A 22,250-nucleotide genomic window follows, 5' to 3' on the forward strand; every position below is an offset into this window, starting at 1 on the left:
AGTGAGTTAATAGTGAGATTACCTCTGATTTAGGCCAGATTATATGGGTATGGTGGTTTCTTTGCATACAGTGGCTATGTACCAAGTAAGGAGCTGATTGGATTACAATTGTAAGAGGCATGGCAAAGTCCTAAATATATAATTGGCTGAGTTCCTCCAAGTTAAAAGTGCTAATCTCCAATACACATCAGCCCTGGCTTGGCTTGGCTTGTTAGGTAAACAAAATGTGTCTTGCCTGTCATTGCCATAAAATATTAATGCACTGGAAGTCTCTAAACCTTGCTAAGCATAAGGCCTATTATCACACTTAAGAGCAAAGCAATCTAATAAATCGCTGGCTGTATAAAAACTAAGTCAGCTGGCAGAGACAGTAATCTCCCTAAGGGATAGTAAGAGCCTCATCTTCAACTACGGCAGCTGCAGTTCCAGAGAAATTATGTTTCTTCTGCTCAGTAAAATACATTTGTGCTGAATTCTGTTATTTAAACTCTAATGGAATCATTAGGAATATCCACACATTCTGAGTAATAGAAAATTAACTAAGAAAATAATCTATAATACTGTCATACAATAGAGTATTTTCATTAGGCTTGCATTTTAAAGTGCTAAATCTGATGTAAAATCAAGGTGCTTATTTCTAATATCTATTTTGGAAGAGCATGAACCCCCAACTCATACATAAATAATCACATATAAACATTGAATAGTATAGTTTGAAGTCAGGTAGTGTGATGCCTCCAGCTTTGTTCTTTTGGCTCATGATTGACTTGGCGATGCGGGCTCTTTTTTGGTTCCATATGAACTTTAAAGTAGTTTTTTTCCAATTCTGTGAAGAAAGTCATTGGTAGCTTGATGGGGATGGCATTGAATCTATAAATTACCTTGGGCAGTATGGCCATTTTCACGATATATTGATTCTTCCTACCCATGAGCATGAAATGTTCTTCCATTTCTTTGTATCCTCTTTTATTTCATTGAGCAGTGGTTTGTAGTTCTCCTTGAAGAGGTCCTTCACATCCCTTGTAAGTTGGATTCCTAGGTATTTTATTCTCTTTGAAGCAATTGTGAATGGGAGTTCACTCATAATTTGGCTCTCTGTTTGTCTGTTATTGGCATATAGGAATGCTTGTGATTTTTGCACTTTGATTTTGTATCCTGAGACTTTGCTGAAGTTGCTTATCAGCTTAAGGAGATTTTGGGTTGAGACGATGGGGTTTTCTAGATATACAATCATGTCATCTGCAAACAGGGACAATTTGACTTCCTCTTTTCCTAACTGAATACCATTTATTTCTTTCTCCTGCCCGATTGCCCTGGCCAGCACTTCCAACACTATGTTGAATAGGAGTGGTGAGAGAGGGCATCCCTGTCTTGTGCCAGTTTTCAAAGGGCATGCTTCCAGTTTTTGCCCATTCAGTATGATATTGGCTGTGGGTTTGCCATAGATAGCTCTTATTATTTTGAGAAACGTCCCATCAATACCTAATTTATTTCTGATAGCTTTGGAGATTGTGACATTGGAATAAAGGAAAATGTACAGAAATCATGAAGAGCTGAAATTCTCATGAATATCAAGCAACACCAGCGTTAACTAAATGACTGAACTCAGAAAGCTGAAGCAACTTTTTTGACTTTTGATTGGAATATTACTGATCCTTGTTGTTCAGAGTCAAGGAAACTTATTGTGAACTATTTATGGCCTTTAATAATTAAATAAGTAATTAAATAAGGTGTACTCCTATAAAAAAAAAACATTGAATTCTGAGTAAAAGCAACTTACTCATTGGGCACTGGTACGAAGTCCTTCTGGCAATATGTAAACATAAATATACTGTTGTTGCTGTACACCTTAAATACAGTTATAAAATTGCTGTTGAAGTGCCATTTTATGCTATACCTGACCAATTTCTGAAAATCATAAAATACTTACTTTGACTTACCCCATCCACCCATACACACACACACACACACACACACACACACACACACACAAGTACTGAAATCAACATATTTCCCATAATAAAGAAAATATAAGCAAACAGATTTTTTTAAATATTAATAAGTAATAAGAAGTACTTTCACATATGTTATTTCATTTAAACCTCATAATATCCCAGTAAGGTAAGTACAGCTTTCATGTCCATGTCAAAAATAAAGAAATTGCTAACTCGCCCATAGTCAGCCAGTTAGCAAAAGGTACTGCCATTCTTGAATCCTGGTCAATTGACTCTGAACACCACACTATTAAAGGTAAACCATTTTTTGTTGTTGTTTTTTTGTTTTGTTTTCTACTTATAATATCTTACCAAAGATAATGCTTCAAATCCTGAAGAGCATTTAGCATACTAATATGTAATTGCTACCCATGAATGGTAATTTTAGGTTACCTGATTAATGAATGATGTGCACCTTTCATATGACATTCAGTAATACTAAATAAAATGTTGATGACCTACACATGTGAAAAATATGAACTAAAAAAGCAGCCCTGCCATATTTAGAAATATTCAATGAAAATATATTTAAATCAGAAGGGAAAAAAAACACATTTTTTACTGGCTCAGGAATTGTAAGCTTGAAACTTACACAGAGGATAATGTGGGCACCTAACAAATATCCTTTGTATATATGGTGATGGGGCTTCAGTAAGAAAACACAATCCTCGCTAGTGTGTTGTTCATGGTGATAACACCCTCAATAAGGCCATGCCATTTTCTGTGTTGAAAATAGCCTTGGGATCAGAGAAGCTGAAGAAAACTGTCATTACAACCAGGTGTGCATCATTTCATCCCTTAGGAAGAACTAAACAATAATGAATCTGAAGCACACAGATCTTCAGTCGTGTGAAAGTGACTCTGAAAGTTACACATTTTCCTAATTACGCTGATACAATCTATAATAGACACTGATATCAACCTCTCTGAATTCCTAACACTTATTTCATTTGTTCAATCAGCACATATCTGTTGACAACATACTCCGTATGCAGCATAATGTGAGCTGCTAAAGTGGCAAGGTGATTAAAATTCAGTGCCTATCCTCAAAGTGTCCACACCTTTGTAAAAAATAAAATTGAATAAAATAATGAACTCGGATATGTTGATAATAGGAAGAAGAACTCAGTGACACACAAGATGCAAATATATATTTTTTCTTAATTTTCTGAAATCAAATCTAGTGCCAATCAAGCACTGCCCCTTAGAGCTGGGTCCCCATTGTTTGTGCCCCTCATCCTTTGATCTCTCTCTAGGCTTCCAGGGACCAACCAAGCATTTAGCGGCCAGTGTTTTCATGCTCTATCTCCCCCAAAAATCTAAAACACTACTTGTTTGTGCCACCCTTTCTTCTCCATTGAGAATCATTCTGTCATTGGGACTAGCAGCTCTTTCTTTCTAGCCATGCGAAAGACCCAGTATTTCTCTCTAGTTCACTTCTTTAACAGTTGAGTGTCATGTATACAGAAGCACTGAATGACTCAGGGAGTCAGATTCCAGAGCCTTAAACTATGAATAACTTGTTTATTTTGAGAAAAAAAAAAATTTTTTTAAGTCAATCCAAAGAAGTGCAGTACCAGTGTATCCTCTTCCCAAGCACAAAGCCCATTCTTTTATATGCAGCAAAAAATAAATAACATCATTGATTTGGTGCATCCTACTCTTAAATTCTTAGTATCTTACCCTATTACACCTATAACACAAGAGCTCAAAGGGGGTGCAAATGAACTGCTAATTCCTTCAACTATACCATGATTTTTCACAATTCCATTTTCATATTTGTACATGACATTTTCTCTCCTGAAATGAAAAACACTGAATTTTCAAGGCTCAGTTCATATGTCACCATTTCTATAAATTAATTCCCAACTTCTCTAAGCAAAGAAACTTCCTACACATTCCTTCACTTCAACAGCATTTTAATATCTCTATCATAGTATATTTAAGGTTATATTATAATTACGTGTTTACTTATCTGTCTCTTACCGAATTATCTCTTTGAGGAGCAGCACTATTTTCAATTCATAATTGTGTCCCCTATTAGCATTCAGTCTCAGTCTCAGCTTTGGAATACCTAAAATGACATCATAATGGTAAAAAGGGGATGGATGTTAAGGAAAAAAAAAAATAGCCAAAATCAAGACTATAGGTGGGCCCAGATCAAGATGAGCCAATCCTCAAGAATACTGGCTAATCATCCAAGCAATTCAATTCAGGGGAAGGAGTCCTCTCCACAGGAATGAATGGGTAGTGGTGAAACTTTCATCAGGCTGGTGTAGTATTTAGATACAAGGAATTCTCATAAGTTGAATCTATATACTAGTCTGTGATATGTAGTGTAGAGGCTCATGAGTAATGAAAACAGTGAGTGTCCCAGTCAGGTAAACTAGAGACCAGAGCAGGGGAGAATCAAGGAAAGAGATCAGCCATACGGCCTAAAGAGGTTTTTCCTTTACCTTTCTTTACAATAATATCATCAGTATGGTAGTACTAGTAAGACAGCCAGGTGGGAGGGGGTCCCTGGAGGAACTTCAACCAGCCTCCCCACTGAGGTGGAGCCTTGGGAAGTTCATGAGGTTTGTAGTAGGCCCCTCCTCTTCCTGTGTGGAAACTGAGATTCGAAGTGCTGGTTGGGAGGCCCTCTAGCAGACACTCTGGCCTTGCAAAAGTCCCTGTTTCCCCCTTATCTGCCTTTATACCCAATAAAACCCTGTCTTACTCACCATTTAAATTGTCTGTGAGCCTGAATTTTCATGGCTGTGGGTCAAAGAACCCTGTTTTTAGCTGAACTAAGGAAAAGTCCTGCAATGCTAGTTCATAGGAGTGATCATTATATTATCATCAATAGCAGCTATAGTAATAAAGAAAAACATCCCCAAAGTCCTCAAAATACTTTCCTTCATATGCTATTAGGTTAGTGCAAAACTGCAATTACTTTTGCACCAACCTAATATTATCCAGAACTAAATAAAATAATGCACTCAAATATGTTGCTTATAAGCATCAAATGCACAATGATACAGAAGACGAAAGAATTACATTTCTTAAGTTTCTTAAAACAAATTTCATCTGGACTCCAAGACTCCATTTTCCAGTGTTGGTAAAAGGGCCCCATCAGTCACATTGGCTCCTCTCTCCCTTGCTTTCTCCAGTCTCAGGAAAATGGCCGAGTGCCCTCAGCCTTAATGCATGCGCACATTCCTAAGGTCACATGATCATTCCTAGACGTTCAATGCTAATTGGACTTCCTTGATTGCCTTAAATCAATATTGATACATTCCCTGGGTCTCGGCACATTGTCATACAAACAAAGTCAACAAAGAAGAAGTGGAAATAGCTGTTGGGAAGGCCACCCACAGTATCTACTACAATCAGATTGAAAAGAGGTTCCCAAAAATATCAACAAGAGACAAAGTGGTGGGAGGAACGAAAGAGACATTATGAAAATATTGAGACTAGAAATGTCATCATAAGCTAATGTATTAATTTCATAGGGAAAGAATAAATAAATAGGGGGAAAGACACTTTAGAAGAAACAATGACTTAAAATTCTCAAAATTAAAGAAAAATATAAGAGCTCATTAAAAGAATGTATAATGGCAAACTGAATAAATTAGAACAAACATACAGTGAGACAAGTTATAGCAAAAATTGAGAACATCAAGTAAGAATAAAAAGTTCTTTAAGTTTCTAGAAAGGAAAATCCAATTACATATAAAGGAATTATAATCAGATTGACATTGAAATTCTCAAAGACTATATTATATTCAGGAAACAATGGAGTTACATTTTCAAAGTGTTGAAAGAAAAGCACATTAAACTAGAATTCTATATCCAACTAAATGTTTTATTTAACTCTGAGTGTAAAATAAAACTATTATCAGGCACACAAGCCTTCATAAACTTTATTGCATAAAAACCTCTTTGACCTGTTCTCCAGCAAGTCAAGAAATACATCCAGGAGAATGCTGCAGATACACGGGAATTATGGGCGCATAAATATCTTAGGGAAATATTTGTGTCTAAAAAAGCAATAATCATAGGAAAACAATCTTAAAAAATTAAATGTCCATAATATTTAAGAATTAGATTTCTAGTTTACATGAAGAGTTTAACTTACTGAAATAGAATTTATAGATATTTATAAGCTTAAAAAACTGATTAAAAACTAATCTTTAGTATTAATTTTAATAAAGAATCACTTTTTAAATCAGCAGAAGAAAATGTACTATATTCAGTGGACATAAGAAGTATACAAAAAGAAAAATTAAAGAAATACTCTTCATAAATTGATTTAAAAAAACAGAATGTAATCCAAATGTAAAAATAACTAAAAACAGAAGTAAATCACAATCTAATAGTAATTTAAAGAAATGGAAATGACTGTGATTAATGATCTGATGGATTTTTGAGAGATCTAGAAATATTAAGCAGCAAAACATGTGAAGCTCAAAAATACAGGGATAGAAAAAAAATGACTTCATATAAATATAAACCTAAAACAGCCAGAAACAGACAACATGATTTAAAGTAAAAATGATCATGAGAAAAAAAATTGAGATATTTTATTTTGGTTATGTGCCATTATCATGAATCTATATCCACATAACAACACAACTGAAAAATGTTATATAACAACTACTGACAGAACTACAATGAAAATGTATAAAACCACAATTATAGTTGGAGATTATTAACTATGAATCACTACAAATAAATCAAGCAGACCCAAAAAAGCAAGTGTTATTTTCTACATTAAAATAAGCTCTAATAAACATTACATCAACAGACACTAGACATTCACTTCAAGCAAAATTAGAAAATTTAGAAAAATTAACCTCGTACAAGGCTACAAAGAAGGGCTCAAAGAATTCATAAGAACCAATATTATACAGACTTTATAAAGAAATAAAAGTATAAATTAATAATAAAAAGATAGCTAAGCAAGTAGTATCTATAAGGAAATATTTCTCAATAACCCTTGGATTCAAGAAAGGAAATTTAAAAGAAAAATTAGAGTCTATTTATTAATTCTTTCCCTATGAAATTAATATATTAACTTATGTTGACATTTCTAGTCTCAATTTTTTTTTTCTTTGAGATGGAGTCTCTCTCTGTCGCCCCGGCTGGAGTGCAGTGGCGCAATCTCAGCTCACCTCAACCTCTAACTCTGAGGTTCATGCCATTCTCCTGCCTCAGCCTCTTGAGTAGCTGGGACTACGGGCTTGTGCCACCACGCCCGGCTACTTTTTTTTCTATTTTTAGTAGAGACAGGGTTTCACCCTGTTAGCCAGGATGGTCTTGATCTCCTGACCTCATGATCCGCATGCCTCAGCCTCCCAAAGTGCTGAGATTACAGACTTGAGCCACTGCCACTGGCCTAGTCTCAATATTTTTATAATATCTCATTCTTCCCATCACTTTGTCTCTTCTTAATATTTTTGAGAACCTCTTTCAACCTGATTGTAGTAGATACTGTTGGTGGCCTTCCTAACAGCTATTTCCACTTTTATGCTCTACAGTCTTACAGCAGAAAAATAGTAGGAATACTATATTTCAAAATTCAATCACCCATATGACACAAATTAAAAGCTATGCCGGGGCCTGTTGCGATGGTTCACGCCTGTAATCCCAGCACTTTGGGAGGCTGACGCAGGTGGATCAGTTGAAGCTAGGAGTTCAAGACCAGCCTGGGAAACATGGGGAAACCCCATTTCTGCAAAAAATACAAAAATTATCTGGGTGTCATGGTGTACACCTGTGGTCCCAGCTACTTGGGAGGCTGAGGTGGGAGGATCACTTGAGCCTAGGAGGCAGTTGCAGTGAGCCCAGACCATGCCACTGCACTCCAGCCTGGGCGACTGAGTGAGACCCTGTTTCCCCCTTCCCTTCCCCCTCAAAAAATGTGGACTGATATAACTAACACACAAACAACAAATGAGATCTCACACTTTTTTTAGTGCAAGTACAGTATCTAAAACAAAGAAGGCCAGACTTTATTCTGAATGGGTTTTTTTTTGTACTATATACTACAATATAAGGACAACTGTGATAAAAAGAAAAATAAGCGCACCAGGGTGGGAAAACACCTGTGCTCAACAACTCATTCAGATGGTTAGGAGTTTAGGACAGGGACAGAAGCACAGGCACACTGGTCCTGAAATATAGTCAGCCCCCATCACCTGCAGGTTCTGCGCCAGCGAGTTTGGCATCTGCCGCACAGATTCAACCAACTGCAGATCAGAGTATTTTGAAAAAACAATTAAAAATAATACAAATTTTAAAATACAAATAACTATTACATAGCATTTATTCATTCCTACTGCATTTCCCCAGCCTATATTCCTTTCCCATTCTTCTAGACTACAAGTATCTTGGTTTATCCTCTTTTCCCAATTTTAATACTTCCCCTCTCCTTATCCTCAACTTCCTTTCAGTGTGACTGAGGAAGTGGGAAATATCAGAAAATAACTTTTACAGACTCTAAAAATCCCACCTCCCACCTACATCTATCTCTACCCATAGCTGCTGCATCCCCTCTTGTCACTGTGGATGAACACTTTCCAAATTAAAGCCAGCTTCTCCATGTGTGCACTGGATCCCAATCCCTCTGATACTCCAAAACATCACAAGCTGCTTCTTTATTATCCTATCTTGCTCTTCCTCCTCCTTTGTCACGACTTTTTCACACTCGACTAGATCATTACTATCAGCATACAGTCATTCTAAAATCTCTCAACTGCATATTATCCTACAGACTCTATCTCGTTTCTCCACTCCCCCACATTAGGACATTGTTCTAGGAATTTACCTCTCTCTCTCTCTCTCTCTCTCTCTCTCTCTCTCTCTCTCACACACACACACACTCACTCACATACACACCAATTTTTCCAATAAGCTTATAAACATTCTATTATTTCTTCCACTGCTAAAAGAAGAAAAACTCATAATCCCACAACAGCTCCAGCTACTGTCCTATGTCATTCCTTCTCCTGGAAGAAAACTCCTAGGAACAGTATTTAATATAATGTCTCCAATTTCTCTTTTTCCACTTTCCTTAGAATCCTTAGACTTCTGCCCTCCGCTACTATTTCAACTTCAAGTTCTTATCCAGTTCACCTATGATCTCTATTTTGCTAAATCCAATGGTCAGTTCTCGTGTTACTTAACCATATCAGCAGCATTTTAGACTTTTATATTTAGTAATTTTTACAACCTGGAAAGTTTAGGCTTAGTCCTGCCTTAAGTTCTCTTAAGGTCACTGTGTCACACTGACCACCTGTAGGAAACAACCACCTCCCTCCAACATAGACACACTCACACACACAAACACTGCCACATGAATCTACACAAGTATGCATACACACACTCATAAGGGAGATCCTATCTCCCTCATCCTACTTGATTTTTTTATAGCACGCATCACCATTTGACAGACTATTTACTTGTTTGTTTATATTCTCTCTCCCACCATTGGAATGTAAGTTTCACAAAGACAGGGACTTTGTTTTATTCACCACTAAATTCCCAGCACCTACAAGTATTCAAATATAGTAGGTATTCAACAAGTTTTGTTTGAACGAGCAAATAAATAAATAAGTGAAACCAATGTTTAAATTTAGCAAATTTCCTGGAAGATAAAAATCGTCATTTAATTAGCAATGACAAATCAAACATGCTAACAAGCCATAATATGAATATTGCATACATGTATTTATTCATTTGTAGTATTTGTACCTTACCTGTTCCAAAAAATGATTTGAGGCAGATGATATGTATATGGTATTGCTATTTATACCCTGCGTGCAGAATATGCTGTCACTTACGAAGGAGATAAATGCTAATTTCTTTCATAAAATGTAAGAGTAACCATTCGAAAACTGAGGAGGGGGAACAGGCTAAAAAGCATTTATTTAAGTAATAACTGACCAGAAATTTGTATAGATAGATAGATAGATAGATAGATAGATAGATAGATAGATAATTTTTAAAAATACCAGAGGGCAATGTCAAGATTAGGGTATATTTGAGGTAAGAGAAAACAAGAAGATTCTTGATTTGAAGAGTGAAGATGTCAAATGAGCCTACACTCTCTTTTTACACACACACACGCAAAAAGAGAGACATCTTTTAATTCCTGGTAAGAAAGTAATTTTTATGATGAGATTGGCTAGAATCTGGAATCAGTTTTCCATGGAAGAAGAGAAAGCCTTGAGGCCATTGAAATAAAACCATTCAAAACAGGGGAAAATGTACTACAGAACAAAGAAAAATGCTGCCCTGATCCCTGGAGGCTGCAGCCAAGAACTGAATAGGCCTTTTCAATCTCCAGCCATTATGAGTTAGGTAACTATTCTGAGAATATATGAAAGGAGTGGTTTTTCCTATCCATGTTGAGCTCCTATTAGCCCCTTGAGGAAATAGTGGTTTCGCAGAAAGTGTGAATTCTCAGTGTTACTGAAATGACCTTGTTTAATTTCCTCATAAAAAAAAGTCAATCTAATAATAGCTACATCTTCTAATATTAACAAAGCTGCAAAAGTTACACAAAGTTAGAATAATTTTCCTTTGCTTGGACAGCAAAATCCTTCAGTGTCCTTGTCTTTCTTTTCCCAATGTGCCACCCCCTTTCTAGTCTATATTTGCTCTTTAATATTTGATTCCACATTTTCCAGTCACCCTGATGCAAAGCAGCAGTGTGAAGTTGAACGATTCAAAACGGAAAGAGGAGATGGCTGCCACCCCACCATGAGCAAATCCACTGAACTGTAAATCTACCCTGCATTTAATTACCCAACTAGACGGTGCGATGATAAGGTCTCCAGAGTGTTGTACTATCATGAGTGATTGAGTATGCTTGCAGTAATAAGCTTTTCTACAGCTAAGCCAAAAGGTTAAAAGTATACGTAGAACTTCAAGGCAAGCATTGTTTTTAAATAGCTGCAAAGCCAAAAGAACAACAGAAACTTCTTTTGAATGAATGTCTTGGTTTCAAAACCTTCCGCTGAAAAAGGAGAGTTTTATGGAAAGGAGTGTGTTCCCTCAAGCAAATTTACAAGTAGTCGGGTCAGTAACAAGGGTGGGAAGACTGCCCTTTCCCGCCAGCTTATACCACATCCACAACTCACATTTGTATAGTGAAAAGTAAAGATGATTGGACTTGTGAGATGAATCAGCAATTCCCAATCACAGCAGCAAAATAAGACTGTTTTCTTTCTGAATCATTGTGGCAGTCAATGGAAAAGTGACAAATAGACTTTGTTCTCCATCAGTGATGGGAGGGGAATTTATGTTGGGAGCCAAATTTCCAAAGTAAGGCATAACAGACTTGCCAGCAAAACTGTTCACACCCCCACAGAGACCACAAAACCCTGCAGCTGTAATTTCAGAAACACACATGTGTATAAATCAAGTAATTGCACACCTAACTATCCACTTGAGCCTGTGTGCTGGGTTTTTTTCCAGGTGCCTGAGGCACTTGTGCTATTTGGCTTTGAAAACAAGGTTTAGTTTAATTGACAGGATATTATCAAATTCAAGCTGACTTGTATGGACAAATCTCAAAATATGAGGGTGGCATACAGAAATCAAGAGGAACATATGAATGTTCCATATGTGTGTTATGCAAGGTCCTTGCAGTGACTGTGAATTCTAAACAACAGGAAGGGACAAAATTAAAATGTCAATTTAGTTCTAATTCATGAATGTATTTTTTTCAGAGCATCAGTGAAGCAGCATCATTTGAAACATCATTGTTATTTACAAAGAGAGAGAGAGGATTGAGCAAGTATTATTTCATTTTTTATAATAGTGTTTTAAAAAAGAATAAGGGAGTGCTTTGGGTCTATTGGCCAGAAGAGCAAGCAGATCCATGTTTTCATGTTCCAGCTGGCACAAGCCCCAGCAGACAGCCATAGAGCAGACTGCAGGCTGCCCAGGAAAGCGGCACTTACTGCAACATGGAATCACCCTGTAGGCTACACTTGTGATTTAATTCCTCCAGGAGAGATTCAGGTTTGTAGGACTTATTATTAGTCCTATACATATGCTTTGCAGATTCTAGTAAAGTAAGATTAATGTGAAAGCAGTTTTTCCAAAATTTTTTTTTTGCAATTCAACACACTCATTTCCACAACGTTCGCTTTCAAGGGGGGAAAAAAAAAGCAAAAAACATGGCATTAATTTCACAAAGATATTTAAATTGCCAACCTCTCAACTACCTCCATCTCCAAGAACTCTATAGATTTAGAGGTTTTTTTAAGTATCCACATACATACATATGCACACGCATGCATACACACACACACACACAAAAACCATGCAAATTTCTAAAGGCATGATTTCAAAACTCTCTAGCAAACAATAAGATGCTAGAAGGGGGGCGGGGTTTCCCATTTTACCTATTCAAACTCTAAAACACCTGCTGTTAACACTGCCACACAATGGGGAATTAATTAATGGAGGTTCTAAATGAACTATGAGAAATTCCACCTCACCATTCTCTACATCTGGTTCATATTTTACTATTGAAAATGAAGAAATGAAATCAGAGGTCATTTGAAAGTAAAAATGAAGGTGGTATGGTAACTATAGGTAAAATCAATCTTATTATAAAATGTCCCATAAGGATGATTTTTCTTAAGACAAAGTCAGTAGTCAGCCAGAGTAAAGCAAAGAGATATCTATGCAAGAATTTTCCCCCAAAACATGTGCAAACTCCCATTGGTCTATTTGGGCAAAATTTCCAGACAGTCTTGTTTTCACAGAGTGATTATTGAAGAAACTCCTTACATTTGCATATAATATTAGCCAAGAATAACATTTCTCAATGACAGCAACAAAATTTAACTCTTTTTTAATGGTTTACAGTTTTTATTAAAATTTTAATAAGAGGCCCAGTTTTGAGACTTTTAGAACTGACGTGCTCCTTTCGCTTTGTTATAAAGGAGTTATCAAGTGTATATAGTGCTTATGGCCTACTGAAGAACCATTAGGCCATAAAATAATCTGCCTGTAAAAATGATGAGGGAAGGTAAAATGTACAGTGTATAAACTACAATCTGAGCACTGTATTAAGGCCTAGTAGGAGGAGATATTGATTTATTTTCCATTGAACAAACATATTAAATTTCAGATGGGTTAATAAGTTAAAAAATAAACTTGAATCTAATACAAAGGAAAGAGAGAAGGAAATACAACAAAAAGAATGTCAAACACCTACCATACATTTTAAATTATTTCTGTGTATTTTGTGGGGAGGCATATGGGATTATTATCAGTACACCTTTTTTTTCAATTCTGCTACTTTCTTAAGGATATCTTTTGATGTCATAAGATTGATTTCTTAATCTAATAAAATATTTAGTATTTTATACACCATAAAATACCATTTCTGATATTGTAATGTAGCTTTCAAGCGGTTTCATGGGAGACAGTTTGGAGACAAGATGGTGATAGGCTGGGAATAAGGAGAGAAGACATGGGAGGGAGAGCTCAGCCCTGGGTGAAGACTCATTACCAGTCCCAACTATCTGTGTGATATAAGGAAAGAGTCTCACCATCCAGGCTTCTAAGTTTTTTCATCTTTAGAGTGGGGAATGTCATTAAAGTATCAAAATGTAGGAAATAAATGAAATACTGCACCTAAAGAACTCTACCTGTCACAAAGAAAGCATTTGATATATTTTATCTATGTTATTGTATTATTGCCTGGGTCCCTAAACAACTCTGTGGGTAGTTCCATTAGCCTCTCTGGCCTGCTTCTCCTAATTGTCTTTGACTATATGCAATCCAAAGCCCTAATTGGATCAGACCTTGAAGTTCTCAATATCCAACTGCCAGACCAATCTCCTAGGCCCCTTATAAGCCTGGATGTACTTCTTAACACCTTCTTTGTATGGATGAAATAGACTCAGTCCTGGGAATACCTATAGGTTGACCTATTCACTGCTCTAACATAAAACATCTCCCAAAATAATAATTCTCACCTTCGGGGTACAAACATTGGTATGTTGTAATGAAATGAGATTTATTACAAGTTTTTTAACAACAGTCATTGAAAATAATAATTATAATTACTAATGATTATTAATATAGTTATGTTATTATATAACAGTATTATAAATTAGTTTAATAATAGTAACATCATAAATTTTCTTAACTTGAAATTGATTTGCTTTTAAAAAATGTATTAGAGCAGAATCAAGATTAATCCTTTAATAATATCACTTTATTTGATTTTATTCCCAAAACCTTTCTTATGAGAATCTTGGAAAAAATTATGAATATGTCACTGATGTTAATGTATGTATTAAATGTTTTGCAGCAGGGAAACAGTAAAAACCTTTTCCCAAAAGCAAACATAACATTTTAATTGTTTTAAAGGGGAAATGAATCAATAAACAGACCTAATAAAATCTTGATACAGTCCATACAACATAATTGAAAGTTAACCAAAAATGCTTGTCTGCTAACAGCGACACATCTTAAATTTTCTCAATGTCTCTGCATTCCAACCACATCCACTGAAATACCCTACTAATATATTTTATCAATTTTGTACTTCAAAACATTTCTTTAAAAGTTATTTCTTTTGGCCGGGCACAGTGGCTCACGCCTGTAATCCTAGCACTTTGGGAGGCCAAGGTGGGTGGATCACTTGAAGTCAGGAGTTCAAAACCAGCCTGGCCAAAATGGTGAAACCCCATCTACTACTAAAAATATAAAAAAAATTAGCTGGGCTTGGTGGCGGGTGCCTCAGCATTACATTGGGACTAGTTAGAAATGCAAATCCTTGTGGGGAGGCTGAGGCAGGAGAATCGCTTGAACCCGAGAGATGGAAGTTGCAGCAAACCGAGATCGCGCCACTGCACTACAGCCTGGGTGACAAAGCAAGACTCCATCTAAAAAACAAAAAGTTATTTCTTTTTTAAAAAAATAGTCTTCAAACCCTAATAATCTCAAGCTATTTTTCTTGCAAATAATTCACAGGAGCTTCTTAAGTTTCCTTAAAGATTGCATAAAATTATGGCTTACCAGAAAATGGCACCTGGGGAGAAAGAAAACTCGTGAATGCCCTACACAGGGATATGAATTCAGAATTAAGTTACCTAAACCTATTATCATTGCTTTGCTTCACTCACATTATTCTTTTTCTTGTCCAGACCAGTTTTCCAAGTGAGTCCTGGGAATAGCCATCCCCATTACATTGGGACTAGTTAGAAATGCAAATCCTTGTGAGGCCCAGTGATTTGTTTTTTAACAAGCCCTCCAAGTGATTTGGATCCACGCTAAGGTTTGGAAATCACTGCTCTAGACTCATAGTAAATAAATATTCAAAAATGTTGAACAAGGAAGCAAAATACAGTATTTTGTGTCCTAACCATTTTGTCTATACTGTGTAGGGGAGAAAAAGTAATCTTTTCCTCACCTATCACAAAGGTCATGCTGACATCCCCACACCGAACAACAGACTAATAAAAGTGTAAAAAATTCATTTCACCAAAGTCTTATGTGACACAGGAGCATTCAGAAATGAAGACCCAAAGATCCAGGGAAAACTGCATATTTTTATGGTGAGTCTGATGAAAGAAGTGGACAGAAGTGGAGAAACATGATTGGACAGAAAGAGGTATGATCCAATGGTTTTAAACTAGGTGAGCTCAGCAAGGTTTCTTCAGATTCTTTTCTGTCTCTGTGTATGACATTCCTTCCCTGCAGGTGTGGAGCAGGACATCTGTGACTGAGGATTTTTTAATGGAGAAGGGAGAAGGTCAGAGAGTGACCTTTCTAGGTTTTACGACTTAATTCAAGAGAGAGGAATTTTAGTTTCCATGACCCACTTCCAAGAAAAAAGAGGGTCAAATATAAGAGGACAGGAGAAGGTCAGAGACACCTTCTTGCTTTTGAGACCCTCCCTGCTTCCTTCCTCCTGTTCCACAAATACTCAGCATGTCAAGGTGCCATACTTTTGGGTATCATGTTCTGAGCTCAGCAATTATAAGAAGTTATTGTCACCTATTGTAATCTCAGCATTTTGGGAGTCCAAGACAGGACGATTGTTTGAGCTCAGGAATTCAAGACCACCCTGGGCAACATAAGGAGGCCTATTCTCTACACAAAATTAAAAAATTAGCCAGGAATGGTGGCACATGCCTGCAGTTCTAGCTACTCAGGAGGCTGAGGCAGGAGGATCATCTGAGCCCCCAAGGTCGAGAATGCAGTGAGCCATCATAGCACCACTGCACTCTAGCCTGGGTGACAGAGCAAGATCCTGTCTCAAAAGAAAAAAAAAAGGAGTAATTATCCCACTTATTTGTCTCTCATAATGATAGCATTATACTCAAAGATCACACTCCACCCGGGTTTGACAATCTTTGTAGTACATTGTATGTAAAATGTAATGTCATAGTGAATGGCCTCAGGGTTGGTTTTCACGGTATTACCACGTGCTGATTCTCAACCAGTCTTTGGAAAAACACTCCCCCCAGCTGCTATAGTTTGGATGTTTAACCTCTCCAAAAATCATGTTGAAATTTGATCCCCAATGTTACACGTAGGGCCCAGTGGGAGGCGTTTGGGTCATGGAGATGGCTCCTTCATAGATTAATGTTCTCCCTAAAGTGGGGGAGTGAGTGAGTTTTTGCTTTATTAGTTCATGAGAGCTGGTTGCTAAAAAAAGGGCTCAGCTCTTCCCCACTTCTCTCTCTCTTGCTTCATTTCTTACCGTTTGATTTCTGCACATGCTGGCTCCCCTTCACCTTCTGCCATGATTTGGAAGCACTCTGAAGCCCTTAGCAGAAATGGAGCAGATGCTGGCACCACGATCCTCGTACAGTCGACAAAAGCATGAGCTAAATAAACCTCTTTTCTTTATAAATGACCGACCCTCAGGTATTCCTTTATAGGAACACAGAACAGACTAAGACAGCAGCAATCCCCCACTCCAGAAATTCAAACCACCCATATCATCCCCTCTCTCCATTTCCTTCAGGTTCACCGTTCACGTAGGTTTCAGAATCCATATGAATCAAGATAAATAATAAAGTGATCAGTACCATTATGATGTTTTTGGATATGTTTAAGCATGAGAAACAGATTCACTGAATGATGTCTTAATCATCCTTGTGACTACTCCACACTGCTAATACAGATAATTCACTTAAGATATATTAAGCAACTCTGCTCAAAACATGGTGGTGTATTCATATGGGATAATATGGGAGTGGGAATAAATTAACTTCACTTGCATACAACATGAATGAATCTCATCCAAATGAATTTGGACAAAGAAAGCCGGAAACAAAAGAGTATATACCGTGTGATTCTGCTGATGTAAAGCTCAAGAGCGAAATTATAGAAAAAATTTTAGAGGTGAAGATAGGTAGTTAAATTTGAAGGGAAGAAGGTGACATCTATGGGGGAAGATAGTCACTGGAAGGGGCCACAAAGGGGCCTCTAGTGTTTTGGTAATACTCTTGTTTCTTGATCATGTTACATATGAGTGTTTACATTGTGAAAAGTCATTGAGAGGTACATTCAGGATTTGTGCACTTTGCTGTGTGTATTTTTAACACCAACTAAAATTTATATTTCAAAACACTCTAACAAAGTCAAAAAATATGTTTGTACTTCACAGATAAGGGCTAATATAAAAAGAATTGCAGATAGGGCATGGTGGCTCAAACCTGTAACCCCAGATCTTTGGGAAACTGAAGTAGGAGGATAATTTGAGTCCAGAAGCTCAAGACCAGCCTGGGCAACATAGAGAAACCCTATCTCTACAAAACAAATTTTGTTTAATTAGCCATGTGTGGTCGTACGTGCCTGTAGTCCCAGCTATTTGAGAAGCTTAGGTAGGAAGATCACTAGATCCCAGGAGTTCAAGCAGTGAGTTATGAACATGCCACATCACTCCAGCTGGGGAAACAGTGTGAAATCCTGTCTCTCAAAACAACAACAACAACAAACAAAGATCTGCAAAATATTGTAAGACCACACAAATAAGAACAAGCAAAAGCGAAGGCTATTTATTCAGAGCTTGATACAGCAAAGGAGTACCCACCATCATTTGGATTTGGCAGACCTCAAAGGCAGGCAGAGGTGAAAGCTTTATAGAAATAAAAAGGACTGTTTCGGATGTGCCCTGATTGGAGGCTGTTAGCATGGGGAAACAGTAGGCAGCTAACTGAAAGCAGGGCATCCATGTGATTGGCTAGAGATGTATTTTTGGCTTTCTCCAGATGATCCTAGGTTGGGGAAACTGTCGATTATTAATCACGTCTTTGGATATTTGGGGTAATTATTTTAGGGATTATTATTTGGTTTCCTCTACTAGTTGCTACAAAGAATAGTTGGACTTCCTGTACTGGTTACTATAGATAGGGAGCTGGCTTCCTGGGCTGGTTGCTACAGGTTGTGAGTAAACACCTTATTATTGCAAATAATCTGGCCATTTTTCATTTGTATATTCAGTCTCTCAACATCAATTGAAAAAAGACCAACAATCCAATGCTAACAGGCAAAAATCAAACCAAAAAAGGTAGATACAGTTAATAGAAAATAAAATAAAAATGACTTTGTAGAACAAGCAATCTCATGTGTAATAAAAGATATGTATTACCACTTTCATCAATCAAGTTTGAGTAACAAACTTTGAAAAGATCAAAACGTTTGATAACAAACTTTGGGGAGAGTGTTTGAGGAAACAGATACCCTCATACATTGATGGTAAGAATAACAGTAACCTCTGCAGAAGCAGTCTTGTAATATCTATTAAAATGATAAATACACAGACCCTTTAAGCCAGAAAGTCAATTTAAAAAAATTTATTTTATACTCTTGCACATATGTAAAATAACACAAATAAGGTTATTACTTGTAACCCTTTTTATCAAGCAAAAGATGAAAAACAGTCTAAATGCTCATCCATAGGAATACTAATTAAATATGGTAAATTACAGTACAGTCATACAGTAGAACACTATATAACTGTAAGAAGAAATAAGAAGCTACTTTATCTTCTGATATAAAATAATCTCCAAGACACTCCATTAAGCAAAAAACACAAAAGCACATAAAATTGTAAGAGAGAATACACACACACACACGCACACACACTGCTTGTATACATATAAAATACACACAAGATTTTGGCATGATTATGTAAAATCTCATTTATATAGTCAGGCATTGCAATGTTCCCATAACAATAGACCGCATATACGACAGTAGTCCTCATCAAATTGTAATACCATATTTTTACTGTACCTTTTCTATGTTTAGATATGTTTCGATACACAAATACTATTTTGTTACAACTGCCTACAGTATTTAGTACAGTAACATACCATAAAGGTTTGTAGCCTAAGAGTAATAGGCTATACCTAGCCTAGGTGTGTATAGGCTATACAATCTAGGTTTGTGTAAATATACTGTACGGTATTTTCACAACAAAGAAATTGCCTAAAGATGCATTTCTCAGAACAGATCCTCCTCGTTAAGTGATGCATGACTGAACATGAGAAATCAATAACATAAGCTACCTATGTCATCCACTGTTTAATGAAAGAAAAACAGGCACTCATATTTCTAATGCATGAACGAAAGGCTTAAAATATTTCTGTAAAGCAGTCTGGAAATTTCTACTTAAATAAACACACATAAATCCTTTGACCCATGCATCTCAATTTGGAAAAATTGTATGACAAAAATGAAAGTGTCAGTATGTAAAGTGATCTGTGTTAAGGTATTTATGGCAATATGGTTTGTAGAGGCAAAAATCATACCAAAGCAAAAGTTGTGAGCAATCTGAAAATCCAACCACAGGAAAATGGTGAAATAAGTTATGATATAGTCATACTGTAGAATATGATTCATATTTTGAAAAGGATGGATAAATCTTAGTAATACTGTTAAGGGAAAGAAACAAGTTTGCAGAATAATATGTCTAGTGTGTTCCCATCTTTTAAATGAAATATATGTGCATAACACAAATTACTTCAACAGAAAAATCCTTAAAAGCTTAGAAGATTCACACAGTAAAGATTTACATGTTTCTTACACAAAGTCCATGCCCATCAGGGGGCCTTCTCCATTTTATGGTTGTGCTACCCAGAGCCTGTAACCTCTAAGGTTGCCACAATCTCTAAGGTTAAGGCTTGTGTCAACCCCAAATTGACACACATCTTCCATTCATATTTCACTGGCCAGCACTCACCATATGAACTAAATCTATCCACAAGGGAAGGGGGCTGGAAAATGCAGAGGATATTTAGTGAAAAATCATTCTCTCCCACAGTATATATTTGTGTAGCTTAGTATGAACCTATCAAATTATTAACTATTATTATTCTTAAGGAGAGGTAATAAAGAGGTAGGAAGATAAAGATTGTGAACTTTTCTACATACAATATTTGTCTTGTAACAATGGGCAGATACCACTTTTATAAATGAAATAAAATTATATAAAAGTCAGGGATATTTGTATATACAGTCACCTTTATCCTATACATGCACATACATCTATAAATAGAGCCTACTGTGTGACTGGCTGAGAGGGAATGTACAGGTTTGATGTAAGAGAAAGGAAAGAAAAAGTCGGTCAGCTGTTTCAGGTTCCTGAGATGATAAGAGGGATGGGACACAATATACAAACTGAAGAACTGGTCTTAATAAAAGAAAAGACAGCTTTTCTACTGTAAATAAGAGGAAACAAGCATATAAAGGATACAAATAAAGGTGAGCTTGTATCTTTAACGCCTAGAACATAACAAAGCATCTTTCCCATTACTCTTATCTTCTCTGTAAAAGAGGAGCCAAGGTTTTCTGATAAGTGTGAGGAACTAAAATGGTTTTCAGGCTGATTTGATTAAAGTTTGAAATAATGTTTGCAGAGGATGAAAAAATGAGCTGACCAGAGAAACATCTTAGTGTTGCCAGTATGAGACACAAACTTGATTTCATCAACTGCTTTCTTCCACCAGAACTTGCCACTGCCTCCAAACCACTATTTCACTATCACTATTACCAATGCCAAGCACTCTGAGCTAGCTACAGTCTAAGGTGAACACTTAGTTCAACTCTACACATACAACAGTTGATGCTGTTTCCATCTCCTCTTCTGGATTCGGATGAGATTATGTCCTGCAGTAGTAGGATCTGGCTTCCAGGGCATCAGCCAAGGAGCCAGGAGACAGAGCCAAAAAGTTTGGAATAGTTCTCACCTGTGGAGTGAAGATTTTTTTTTTTTTTTTGGCCAATAGGAAATAAAAGACGGTATGGAGATAAGCAGATAAACCCCCTTCATTCTCCCTTTCATCTACTACCTTAAAGGAGACCTTTGTATTCTACTCAAGATGTAGTTTGAATTTAGAGCAAGGGCATGTCCATTTTTACACATAAAAAATAGAAAGGATAGGCCTGGCCCAGTGGGTCACGCCTGTAATCCTAGCACTTTGGGAGGCTGAGGCAGGCGGATCACGAAGTCAAGAGATCAAGACCTTCCTGGCTAACACGGTGAAACCCCGACTCTACTAAAAATACAAAAAATTAGGTGGGCACGGTGGCAGGCACCTGTAGTCCCAGCTACTCAGGAGGCTGAAGCAGGAGAATGGCCTGAACCCAGGAGGTGGAGCTTGAAGCGAGCCAAGATCATGCCGCTGCACTCCAGCCTGAGCAACAGAGTGAGACTCCCTCTCAACAACAACAACAACAACAACAAGAAATAGAAAGGATATAGGTATAATAGGGAAAATTGAGAAGCTCTTCGAAGCACAAATGGCAGGCCATAGTGTACAAAAGCCTCTGCATCAATCAAGGTCTCATCAATAGAAATATGTGACTGTGGACCCCGGTTAAACAGTCTCTGTAAAGCTTTTGCCTTCATATCTGATGTTGGAATTTGAGAGCAGTCAATAGGAAAAGAAGCTGTATGCAAAATGTGGAGGGCAGGAAAACTGAAACTCATTAGGACAAATTAAAACCCAATTTGTTGAAGTGGGTGTTCTCAAGGAGAAGCTGACACTTTTTATCATGGAACTAAACACACACTTGACCCAGGAGTGAACAAGAAGGAAAGTCCAAGGGAAAGTAAAATTCTTGCATGCAACAAGTTGAACTAGCAGATAAACAAGAATACATGTGAGTTATAAAAGTTCCTGCCCCAACCTTCTGAGTGTCAAAAACAAAATGTGGGCAGGGCGGGGGGTAGTGGAGATAAGATGGCTGGCTAAATGTAGCCAGGTGGAACAGCTCCCA

At 36.9% G+C, this 22,250-nt stretch overlaps 1 long non-coding RNA gene across 1 annotated transcript in view, besides 2 other annotated features; it reads right to left on the reverse strand.

Moving 5' to 3' along the window:
- The window catches only part of LOC124901056 (uncharacterized), an 891,204-nt gene that overhangs the window by 525,465 nt on the left and 343,489 nt on the right, over positions 1–22,250 (reverse strand). The gene's annotated exons all lie outside the window — the stretch shown is intronic.
- Positions 4,255–5,991: an enhancer, noted in NCBI's record as "VISTA enhancer hs2325". NCBI's record gives its function as "enhancer in: forebrain[4/17]" and the evidence as "EXISTENCE:transgenic organism evidence [ECO:0001131][PMID:17130149]".
- Positions 4,994–5,525: an enhancer, noted in NCBI's record as "OCT4-NANOG hESC enhancer chr5:125345246-125345777 (GRCh37/hg19 assembly coordinates)". NCBI's record gives its function as "activates a minimal SCP1, AML or CMV promoter by ChIP-STARR-seq in primed H9 embryonic stem cells {active_cell/tissue: H9 hESC(primed)}" and the evidence as "EXISTENCE:reporter gene assay evidence [ECO:0000049][PMID:30033119]".

The sequence above is a fragment of the Homo sapiens genome, chromosome 5, assembly GCF_000001405.40.
Source record: "Homo sapiens chromosome 5, GRCh38.p14 Primary Assembly".
In the NCBI taxonomy this organism is placed as follows: domain Eukaryota; kingdom Metazoa; phylum Chordata; class Mammalia; order Primates; family Hominidae; genus Homo; species Homo sapiens.